The sequence below is a fragment of the Homo sapiens genome, chromosome 5, assembly GCF_000001405.40.
Source record: "Homo sapiens chromosome 5, GRCh38.p14 Primary Assembly".
Lineage (NCBI taxonomy): Eukaryota > Metazoa > Chordata > Mammalia > Primates > Hominidae > Homo > Homo sapiens.
The window spans coordinates 20013796-20026358 of NC_000005.10; the positions used below are offsets into that span (position 1 = coordinate 20013796).

General features: G+C 37.0%; 1 protein-coding gene across 9 annotated transcripts in view, besides 1 other annotated feature; it reads right to left on the bottom strand.

Annotated features, from left to right (window-relative positions):
• CDH18 (cadherin 18) overlaps positions 1 to 12563 on the bottom strand; it is a 1104418-nt gene that overhangs the window by 542500 nt on the left and 549355 nt on the right. The gene's annotated exons all lie outside the window — the stretch shown is intronic.
• Positions 6312 to 6837: an enhancer, noted in NCBI's record as "NANOG hESC enhancer chr5:20020216-20020741 (GRCh37/hg19 assembly coordinates)". NCBI's record gives its function as "activates a minimal SCP1, AML or CMV promoter by ChIP-STARR-seq in primed H9 embryonic stem cells {active_cell/tissue: H9 hESC(primed)}" and the evidence as "EXISTENCE:reporter gene assay evidence [ECO:0000049][PMID:30033119]".

The following is a 12563-nucleotide window of genomic DNA, read 5'->3' on the forward strand; positions in this document are numbered from 1 at the left end:
AAGTGTATTTTGAGATCTAAAATTAGAATATCACTTTGTTTGTTCTTTTTAATATCTCTTTGTTTTATATAGCCAAGTATATATTTGATACACTTTCCCCAAATGCTGTTAACAGCAAGAAAAATTTGTTTATAGTGATATCCAAAATATTTTTAGATTGCTTATTAAAGTCAATAGATACCCTGATGCTCAATGTACTATTTTAGAGAATTTATACCACTGTGGTTATACAAAAATACCAATGACAGAATATTTACCACATTTATCTGATACTTATAGAAAATAAGAATAGGCATTCCCCAAATATGACAGAGAGGCATAGAGGTACTGCTCTTTCAAATTCAATGACTTTAGTGCAGTCCAATAGTAAATATTTAACTGCATTTGAAAATATTTACAAGAAAAGTCTTTGTGCTAGGTACTACCTGTACTTTAGGATATAAGGAAATATATCCATAGTCTCTGCCTGTAATTCATCAACAGTCTGCTGGGCAAGAAAGAGAAACAGAAGGTGGAAGTGTAATACTTGCAATGTGATAAGTATTACTGTGATGGGATAAAGTCAGGATGAGAACTCTCCCAGAAACGACATCTAATGCAGTCTGAGAGGAATGGGAAAGTCTTCCTAGAAAAGATGTCCTATGCTGCTGCATGAAGGGTGGATATGAGATAATCATGTAATGAGGGCTTAAGAAGACAGAATGGTCCAAAGCAAACAACTGGATCTAAGTTTTCAGCTGTATAATAAGAAAGCAAAAGAATCTGAAAGCAAGACAAAACAAAACAAAATAATTTTATATATAGTTAAAGCCAAAGGCTAAGCATAAGAAAATGAAATCCAGTCATCTTCTTAGAAAATCATTTTTCTCTAACACTAGAGAAGATTAAAAATGTTATGGATGAGGAAGTGGAACATAAGTAGAAGTGTGAATCCAGAAAGTTGGAGCCTCCGTCTGAGTAAGCGCCATTCAGAAACAGCTCCAGTGAATGAGGCTGAAGCATATAAGCATTAAATGATTCCTTTTTTTCCATCTGGGAAAATATTTATCATAGTGAACTATTGAACTGTTGATCATTTGGTCAGAGTAGATACTTGTCTAAATTCTGAGGTCCATTTTTCATCTAGAGAGCATCCTCAACAAATCAGGAAACCCACATTCTTCTAGAAGAGAGGGAGGAGCTTTGGACTTCACAGAAATGGTGATGAGATTAAATGAAAGGACATATACTAGGTCAAAATAGTTAACAGAAAAAAGCACAGACTCTTGTAAAGTGGGAACAGTAGTAGAATAAGCCAGGGTTTTCTATAGGGTTTCTAGTAATCTATCTGCATGGTAGATTTGCGTGCCATGTTGATTACAAACCTTGGTTCAGAAACAGACACATGGCCTATTTGGCCAAGAGAGAATGGGCTAGATACTCTGGGTCAAGTTTCCCATAGGTCCCACGTTTATTAAAAGTGTGGTCCAATATTCACTCTCTTCCCTGAACTAGATAAATAAGAATCAGAGCTTTTGTGTTTTCCCAGAGGGCTGAGTAATTGAGCATGGTCCACCTATCAGAAAAGATGTGGCACAAGTGGCATGTACTGAGGATCATCAGCATACAATAGTAAAATCTCAGAGCAGCGGTTATGCATAAGAGTCAAAATGGAAGACTGGTTCATCAAGGTGTTGCAGCCTAGAAAAACTTAGAAAGACTAACACCATGTTTACACTCATGGCCAAGAAAAATGGGGATTTAGAGTTAAATTAAATCATTTTAAAGCATAGCTAATACATAAATGTTCATTTTTGTACACCTATTTAATTTTGTCTGAGAATATTCACAAATCAGTTACAATTCTGTTATGGAGAACAGGGTAGAGAGCTGAATTGGTAATGAGACAACTGAACAGCAAAATCACAATAAGCTGCCATGGATTACTGAATGTTCCCAGTATGCATGGCAGATGATGAGCTTGCATTTTTATCAACAGAAATGGCAGACCATTTGACTAATCAAGATGTAGGTGTTTTGCTCTATTGGTTTGGAAAAAGGACGGGAAAGCAAATTAGTTGGTATAGGTAAGACTGGATGAAATTTTAGATGAATTAGGTCTTTAGCATATAGAAAAGGAACGCAGATAACAGGGGAAACATCTAAATTAAAAGATTTGTGGTTGTGAGAAAACAAAAAGGGAATATAAATTGTTCTACCATAAAGACACTTACACATGTATATTCATTGCAGCACTATTTATAACAGCCAAAACAATGAATCAATCTAAATACCCATCAATAGCAGACTGGATAACAAAAATGTGGTACTTATACACCATAGAATACTATGCAGCCATAAAAAGAACACAGCCATGTCTTTTGGGGGAACATGGATGGAGCTGGAGACCATCATTTTTAGCAAACTAACCCAGGAACAGAGAACCAAATACCACATGTTCTCACTTATAAGGGGGAGCTAAAAGATGGGAACAAGTGGTCACAAAAAGGGGAACAACAGACACTGAGACCTTACTTGAAGATGGAGGTTGGAGGAGGAAGAGGATCAGAAAAAAATAACTCTTGGGTACTATACGTAGTACCTGAATGACAAAATAATCTGTACAACACACCCACCTGATATGAGGTTACCCATATAAATTGCACATGTACCCCTGAACCAAAAATAAAAGTTTTTCAGAAAAAGAAAATAAAATGTGAGAAAAAGACAGTGATAGAAGCATAAATGGAGGATGCTGAGGTTAACCTTTTCAGCTGAGATTCTCTGAAAAATTTCAATTATTTTTCACCAACAATAATTCAGCATTGCATAGTTGCAGTCAGAGTGCTGGTTGAGGCAGAAGTCATGAAAGTATGTACAGAGAGAAAAATTTTCAATTGTCCAATATTTAGTGAACAATGCAGTATCTAACCTTTGTTCTAGGAAGAATGTATGGACTAATTTTTGTCTTTCAAGTTTTGTAAACCTCTAGGCATGAGTTGCCGGCTTCTACTTTAATTCAAACCTACACTAGTGCAGGTTTGTCACTATGGATCACGGCCTTGGGGTCAGGTGTTTGCAGTTTCCAAGTCATGTTATAATTGCCTACCTGTAAAGAGAAAACAGCAATTCAAAAGTACCATGAATGTACATTTGTAGTAATAGTGCCTTTCATTTAGTTTTCAATTTCTCATGGTTCATTGTCGTTTTCTTCTAGTAAATAGCATGATCAAATAAAGAGTCTCCACATTAAGTCAAAAATTTAAAAATACATTTTCAAAATTTCTTGGAGTAAGAAATTGATGTGTTCTCTGAAAAAAATGGAAAATCTCACTTAAAATGTCAAATACATTTTCAGTTAGTATGCTCAATATTTTTATTTCTGAAAAACTAAATACGTACTGAAAAACCCTTGAATATTTAAAGAATTTTTCCCTTGGAAAGTTGGCTTTGGCTGAACAAGAGTCATTTTCTTTTTCTTAAATTTAGCTCTGTATATTGGCACTATGGTAGGAAAATAAAAGTCCCTTCCAAATTCTATTTATAAGAATTTTTTCACTTCTAAAAAAGGGTCAAATTTGTTATTTTTGTTAAATATCTGGTTTTATTTCCTTTTCCCATTGAGGAAATAAACTGTCTATATGAGTAGTATTGGGCTAATGTCTAACAGACTGCTTACAAAATAATTGAAATGCGACATTCATTGACCAAATAAAAAAGTTATAAAAGCCAAAATTGGCAAAACTCACATAATATAAAAATTAAAATGTCTATAGATTAAAATTACTAAATTTCCCATAGTATATACCTTTAGTATTTCTGAATTATTCTAAATCAACTGACAAGTGTAGAGAAATAACTATGTTGTCACATCAGTGGTCACCAGTTGATGTGGTGAGAAAGTTATTAAGCAAAATCAAGGCTTAGTTACTTTAGCCTTGAAGCCAGAAAGGGAATCACTAGGTAGGCCATATAATGTAAATCAGAAAAAATGGAGCAGAATAGGATATCAGCTGGATGAAAACTTTTCTCTTAGTCACGCTGTTAAGGATGTTCACATCCCTTAGTAAACAGAAACTAGGCTCTCCGTTTCATCACTTAAGGTAGAAAGTACTTATGGTAAATGAATGTGTAAGTCTCTACACACTGTATGAGTTCCATATTCTCAATAAAATATTGACATAAGGATTCATTTAAAGGCAGGCATGCATGAGAGAGATTGGGAGTATGAGAGAGAGAAAACTAATATTAGTTGTTATTGCAAGTGTTCAGTATAGGACAGAAATTACTAAACACTTTAGGGTAGTTGAAATTTAATCTTCATAACAATAGGGTGAGGTAGGTACTATTTTTCTCTTTTCATGTCTGAAACTAAGGCACTGTGAGGTTAAGTATTTAATAACTTGACAATGTCACACAGACCTGGGCCCATGTGGCAGATTAATGCATTGTAAATCCAGATTTCAACATATTTACACCCTTTTTCTATGGTCTGTATTACATTGATACAGGTAGAAGTAGAGTTCGGAATGTCTAGAGATACAAATATAATTATAAGTAAAAATAGGCCCAATTACAACATAGAAATAGACATAGAGTTTTAGGTTCCATGGCATGACTTTTGCAAACAAGATTCTTTTGTCTAGTGTGGAGTAAACATGTGAAGCATTACCACTTAGAGAACCTTCCCTCATTGAGCTTTGCTTTTGAATGAGCCTGACACAAAGTTCATGTACATAAAGTATGCCATTTTGTATTCTAAACAATCTTTGATATTTGGGTGTGAAGATTCTTAAGAAAATGATAAAAAATATGAGATATCTATGACTGCATGACTTTTATAGAATTGGCTTCCCAAATAATTCTTTAAGGTTATAGATTCAATTAATATTGAAAGTGAGAAGAATCAGGATTTTGTTTCCTATGGAATAAAAATGAATAACTGGAACATTCAGATCTGGTAAAAACAGTTGTGGTACTTTAAATACAAAACCCTTAAGAGAGTTCTCTGAGAATAAGGCATTCTTTTTTTTTTTTTGAGACGGAGTTTCGCTCTGTCGCCCAGGCTGGAGTGCAGTGGCGCGATCTCGACTCACTGCAAGCTCCGCCTCCCGGGTTCACGCCATTCTCCTGCCTCAGCCTCCCGTGTAGCTGGGACTACAGGCGCGCGCCACCATGCCCGGCTAATTTTTTTTTGTATTTTTAGTAGAGACGGGGTTTCACCGTGTTAGCCAGGATGGTCTCAATCTCCTGACCTCGTGATCCGCCCATCTCGGCCTCCCAAAGTGCTGGGATTACAGGCGTGAGCCACCGCGCCCGGCCTAATAAGGCATTCTTAATGAACCTGAGAATGTGAACTGTGCCTTGGTATTTTCATGGAATTAAGCACCATGAAATCACTACAAAAGGAGTGAGAATTGTAGTACTTATAGTGAGACAATAAAATAAGAATGATACTATCTTTTAAAGCACAAAATAGACTCACTAATGTTAAGAAATGTTTGCTTACAGTTGACATAGAAGAATGACTACTAAATTAATGAGATCTGCATACTTTTTACGGATGATATATGGTAACACAGAGTCATTATAAAATAGCATATTGATATGGTTTGGATTTGTGTCCCCACTCAACTCTCATGTCAAATTGTAACCCCCCAATGTTGGAGGAAGGGCCTTGTGGGAGGTGATTGGATCATGGGGGCCAATTTGCCTCTTGCTGGTCTCATAATAATGAGTGAGTTCTCATGAGACCTGGTAGTTTCAAAGTGTGTGGTATCTTTTCCTTCACTCTCTCCTTCTCTGTCCATATACAGCATACCTGCTTCCCCTCACCTTCTGCCATGATTGTACATTTCCTGAGGCCTCCCAGCCATGCTTCCTGTACAGGCTGTGGAACTGTAAGTCAATTAAAACACTTTTCTTTATAAATTACCCAGTCTCAGGTAGTCCTTTATAGCAATGAAAGAATGAACCAACACAGAAAATTGGCACCAGGGGTGGGGCATTGCTATATAGATATCTGAAAATGTAGAAGCAGCTTTGGAACTGGGTAATGGGCAGAAGTTGGAAGAGATTGGAGGGCTCAGAAGAAGACAGAAAGATTAGGGAAAGTTTAGAATTTCCTAGAGACTTGTTAAATTGTTTTGACCAAAATGCTGATATTGATGTGGACAATGAAGTCCAGCCTGAGGTAGTCTCAGATAGAGATGAGGACCTTACTAGGAACCAGAGTAAATATCACTCTTGCTATGTTTTAGCAGAGACTGGTGGCATTTGTGCCCCTGCTCTAGGGATCTGTGGAACTTTGAACTTCAGAGAGATGATATCTAGGGTATCTGGTGGAAGAAATTTCTAAGCAGCAAGGCGTTCAAGAAGTGGCCTGGCTGCTTCTAACAGTGTATGCTTATATTTGTGAACAAGATATAATCTTAACTTGGAACTTGAATTTAAAAGGGAAGCAGAGCATAAAAGTTCAGAAAATTTGCAGCCTGACCGTGAGGATAGAAAATGGGTAGAAAAGAAAGGCCCATTTAATGGGGAGGAATTCAAGTCTGCTGCAGTCATTTGCATAAGTAAACAGGAGCTGAACGTTAATAGCTAAGACAATGGGGAAAATGCCTCAAAGGCATTTCAGAGACCTTCATGGCAGCTCCTCCCATCAAAGGCCTGGAGGCCTAGGAGGGAAGAATAGTTTTGCAGGCAGGGCTCAGGAACCAGCTGCCCTGTGCAACCTCAAGACACTGCTCCCTGCATCCCAGCTGCTCCAGCTCCAGCCATGGATAAAGGGGCCCCAGATACATATCAGGCCACTGCTCCAGAGGGTGTAAGCCATAATAAGCTTTCATGGCCTCCACATAGTGTTAAGCCTCTGGGTGTGCCGGGGCCAAGGGTTGAGGCTTGGGAGTCTCTTCCTCAATTTCAGAGGGTGTATGGAAATGCCTGGATGTCTATGAAGAAGTCTGCTGCAGGACCAGAGCCCCCATGGAGAATCTCTACTAGGGCTGTACAGAGGATAAATGTGGGGTTGGAGCCTCCAAACAGAGTTCCCACTGGAGCACTGCCTAGTGTAGCTATGAGAAGAAGACCACCATCATCCAGGCCTCAGAACAGTGGATTCACCAATAGCTTGCACTATGCACCTGAAAAAGTCGCAGACATTGAAGGCCAGCCCTTGAGAGTAGCCAAGGGACTTGAGCCTTGCAGAGCCACCGGGGTGAAGGTTCTCAAGGCCTTGGGACCCAACCCCTTATCTCGGTGTTGCCTGGATGTGACACATGGAGTCAAAGGAGATTATTTTGGAGCTTTAAGATTTAACGACTGCCCTACTGGGTTGGGAATTGCATGGGGGCTTGTAGCTCCTTTGTTTTGTTCAGTCTCTCCCTTTTGGAACAGTTGTATTTACCCGATGCCTGTATCCTCATTAAATCTTGCAAGTAACAAATTTATTTTTAATTTTACTGTCTCATAGGTGTAAGGGACTTGTCTTATCTTGAATGGGACTTTGGATTTTGGACTTTTAAGTTAATGCTGAAATGAGTTAAGACTTGGGGGACTGTTGAGAGAGGAAGATTGTACTTTGCAATGTATGAAGGACATGAGATTTGAGAGGGGCTAGAGGAGGAATAATATGGTGTGGATTTGTGTCTCCATCCTAATCTCAAATTGGACTATAATCCCCAATGTTGAAGGAGGGGCCTGGTATGAGGAGATTGGATCATGGGAATGGATTTCCCCCTTGCTGTTCTCATGATAGTGAGTTCCCATGAGAACTGGTTGTTTAAAACTGTGTGGCACCTTCCCCTTCAGTCTTTTCCTTCTCTGACCATGTATGTTAATAGCTAAGACAATGGGGAAAATGCCTCGAAGGCATTTCCTGCTTTCCCTTCACCTTCTGCCATGATTGTAAGTTTCCTGAGGCCTCCCTGGCCATGCTTTCTGTACAGCCTGTGAAACTGTGAGTCAATTAAAACTCTTTTCTTTATAAATTACCAACTCTCAGGTAGTTCTTTATAGCAATGTGAGAATGAACTAACACACATGTAATCTCTATAAACATTCTAATAAAATGGAAAATAATATCATAGGAATTTGGTAACAAATATACATTTTCTTTCAATGAGCAGAAGCCATGGACACAGCAATTGATAATATTTGCTTAATAAAAACAACACAGTTGAGTACATTTTAGCCCCCAGAAAATAACCACCTTAGAAAAACTACAACGCAATTGACTTTTGTAGTTCAACACATTACATAAAGAGTGGTTTGTTTTTCAAAGGATTAATCACAATGTGTCTATTGTTATTTTCTTATTATCCTAATGTTCTTCCAACTAGTATTGTGTTTCACTGAAAACCTTACCTTTTTATAACTTTAAACACCACAAAACATCCTGGGTATTGACTATTCCATTGAGTTCATATTAAGCAAGGCCTTGCCATTTCTCTGTTGTTGTACTATAATACAGGTACTTCGTGGTCTAGTCTTACTGAAATCATCCAATGGAAATAATAAGGAAGTAGCTGGTAAGGTTTGGAACCTAATTTGCCAATGTAAGGATTATGAAATACATTGCTTGTATAAAATCTAATAAAGCTGGTTTTGTTTCTGCTTCAGTGTTTATATGAATGATATTACCATCTGCTCTTGAGAAGACCTCAGGCAGGATCTCTGAAAAATAACTTAAACATCTTAAATAAATACACAAGATTTGGCAATAATCATGCAACAGATACAAAAAACATTTCTTGCTATTGCTACATATTTTAACTAGACCAACATTTTTAATATAATGGGTCAATTAATTAGTTGTCCATTTCTAAATATTTTATATACGATATTATGGTTTAAAAGAAATTGTTAACTTGTAAAAATTTAAGCAGATCTTGAAGTAAAGGGTTAAAAGACAAAAGTTAAGAAAAAAACAAAGAATTCTAAAGTTTTGTACCATAGGTAATTTAACTTTTACATATTATTTCTAGTCTATTAATGTGAGACAATTCTATGCAAGGGTATTTTAATTGTAGAAAGGAAAAATATTATGAATATGTAATTGACTTGATTTTCCAATGGGTGAGTCTATGCTTGCACTCGGGTATACAAAATCACTACCTTCCTGCATTTTTATAGAGCATATATTATTTGTAGTTAATATGTTTACATGTGAGCAGTGAAGGGTGACTTTCAACTCTCAGAGAGAGCCAAATTTTCTTTTTCACAATCTACCTTAGATATTTGATACACATTTCTTTCTAATGTCTTTCTGATTTTTTTAAACTTTAAAACACACCAAACCTAATAGAGTATGTTTTCTCCCCAAATATCTGATCTCTTTTGGAATTCCTTTCTATTATGATAGCGCCATTCTGATCTGACATATTCTTTTACAACCTTCCTTCACTTTCAATTAATATTCAAGTCATATCTCTGTTTCAGAGCTGTTTTCTCAAATCAATTCCCACAAACTAATATCCACAGCCCTCAGCTTTGCCTGTGCTCAGGCTCTCATCTTGTCTCAATTGTGTCTAATAGTACCTGTTCCCTTTCTCTAATATTACCATATAATTGTTTATATTGTTCATTGGCCAGGTTTCTCAGCTATAGAGAAATCCACTCTAGCTAGTTAAATAAGAAAGGTATTTATAGGCCGAGGCGGGCGGATCACCAGGTCAGGAGATCGAGACCATCCTGGATAACATGGTGAAACCCCGTCTCTACTAAAAATACAAAGAAATAGCCGGGCGTGGTGGCGGGCACCTGTACTCCCAGCTACTCGGGAGGCTGAGGCAGGAGAATGGCGTGAACCCGGGAGGCGGAGTTTGTAGTTAGCCGAGATCGCGCCACTGCACTCCAGCCTGGGCGACAGAGCGAGACTCCGTCTCAAAAAAAAAAAAAAAAAAAAGAAAGGTATTTATTTATGTACTGATACTTTCAAGAATATTTAGCAAAACTTAAATAACAAACTGTAGGTTTGAGCTTCCATGAAGAATTCCCATGACTATCCCACAAAACTGAGGCACTGAATGAGCTACCTTAGTCATAATCCCGCAGTCACTCACTTGCTCCAGAATCATATTGCATATGATCTAATCCCAACAACAAATTGCTCAGCCTCTCTTCATAACCAACTCAATTCTGCACAGTTTCCTGTTGGTGTACTGATTAGAGAAACTTAAATTCCATCTGGAGCTCTTGCTGCAGTAGAGTCTGGGAAATGCAGTTTTTAGAATTCCAGCCAAGGCAGTACAAGGAGTAGAGCTAATTGGAGTGAGTGTTAAACAAATGAATTCACCATATCCATCACATATTGCAAACAAAGTATTTTTAAAAGCTAATCTCATCATAAAACTGTTATTTACTTGTCAAAATGTTTTAATTAACTATTGCCTAAAGGCTAAAATCCAAACTTCATTATTGATCTTTCTTTAAGAAAACATTTCTTAAAATGTAAATATTTGTTTGGCCAAAAACTTTCTTTAGAGTTCAATTTTGCTTAGCATTGTTCTCAGCTCTTATACCTGGAAATAACATATGGCTCCCAGGTGTCTGGGACTGGGGTAGGGTGCTATATAAAATAAATAATAGACAAAGTGATCTGGGATGATAAAATGTTGTATAAAATCTCCTTTGAGACCTGGTGGAAGTAACGTGAGCTTCAGAAAGGAAGAGGTGAGAAAAACTTTCAAAGAGGGAGTGATATTCAGCACATTTTTAAACTATAGAAACATGTTGGCCAGTTTGCCATGTAACCACGGCAAAGAGAAATGAAGACCAGAATTTACAGATTTGTGTAAATGTATGGGCTTGTAGAATACATACGAGAATAAAAAAGAGAATGATAAGTCGTTTGGAATGACATGCACTACTCCATGTGTTGACATGATAAGGGATAATCAGATGAATAAAATTCTCATTCACTTGCCTAAAGGGTTTAGACTATCCTGTGAGGGGTTGAGAGCCATGGAAGGAGTCTAACAAGGAGATGAACCTAAGTTTTTCCTGAGAGTTTCTCGGGGATAAACCAAAACATGGTGGGGGCTAAAGCCATGTAGAATACTTAGAAGCAATTATTCCAGGGTCAGATCCAAAGTCAGGCAGTGGATTTGAATACTGAAAGGAGCTAATGTTTGGTAAGTGAGTGAAGAGACAGCAACATCACTCACTGACCTGCAGAGTCCTTAATATTGTGGCTTATCTACCAATAATTTCACCGATGCTCTTCCAGTGAATCCAAAGGAATCACCTTTTTTAGGGGCCATATCTTTCGTAACATATCCTTGAACGTTCTGTTCCTTCTGCCCAAAATAGCCTGTTACTCTTCTCTGATCAGTTATCTGACAAGATTTAGCTTAAAGGGCTTTATTTTGAAAATATTCTTTCATGCTTTGAGGCAGTAGCAGACACTCCCTCTTTACTACATGAAAAATTCCGCCTTTCAATGTACAGATCTTAGTACACTGTAAGTATTCATTTGTGGTCTGTGTTCCCACTTGGTTATGACTTTCTAAGGGTTCCAGGCTATGTCTTAACTTTTGGAAAGTAGCAGATATTTGGGATATATGGAGAATTAATTTAAATTAATAATCAATAATTACAACTTTTTCTAGGACATATAAGGTTGTCCAATAAAATATATAAATATAATATGTCACAGTATTTCCAATAATTCTACTGTTTTTTTATACTCAATTGGTCACATTTCCATCTAGGAAATATTGATATAAAACATATAAATTAGCTTCATATACTTCAAAGTAGTGAATGTAAAAACAACTACAGTTTAATCTTCTGTATAATTAGCAGAGACAAATCAACATTTTATTTTTGTCTTTGGCCAAACCCTGACCAGTTTGTGTTGCCCAAATATGATTTTCTTTTTCTTTCAACAGAATAACATCTGGCAAAAGCCCAGGTCATTTTTAAATACTATAATTTTCTCTTAATCAGCTTTCTTGTCCAGAGCCTCATTTTCCTCTAATCAGTTCAGGTGTTCCTCATTGTTAGTGCCAATTCAAAATTATCAGTGTTCAAGATTGTTTTCTAAGCTAGTCACCCAGCAAATTCTTTTTATATCACAACTTTCTTCACATGCTTTTGCCATTACTACCCATTCATCTCTTGGTCCATTTTCCTAAGTAATAACCTGTGCTTGGAAATATGTTCTATTAAATATCCACCGACTACTATGTCTAGTATAAACTTCAGTTTTGAATCATTCCCCTCATACAAAATTGTCAAAATATGTTAAATATTCTAAAACATTGCTGTATTTTTCTATTCTACGCTTGTCACAAATTAGAGCTACTTGTGCACCATTCCTTAAGTAATTCAATACTTTGAATTCATGTTAGTAGCATGACCTGGGATTGTTCTTAGAGAAGTGCCGTAAGAACACATTGCCTTTCTGTTACAGGAGAAAATATTGAAGAAGTTTGTCATATGAGAATCCGTAAGGGGATCTGTTGCCAGGCAGATGAGATCTGTGGCCAAATCATAAATTTGCTAATAAGATGCTATGTGGCCATTGATGAATTACTTGCAGTCGCTAAGCTTCAGTTTTCTCAAATATGAGAAAAATAGAT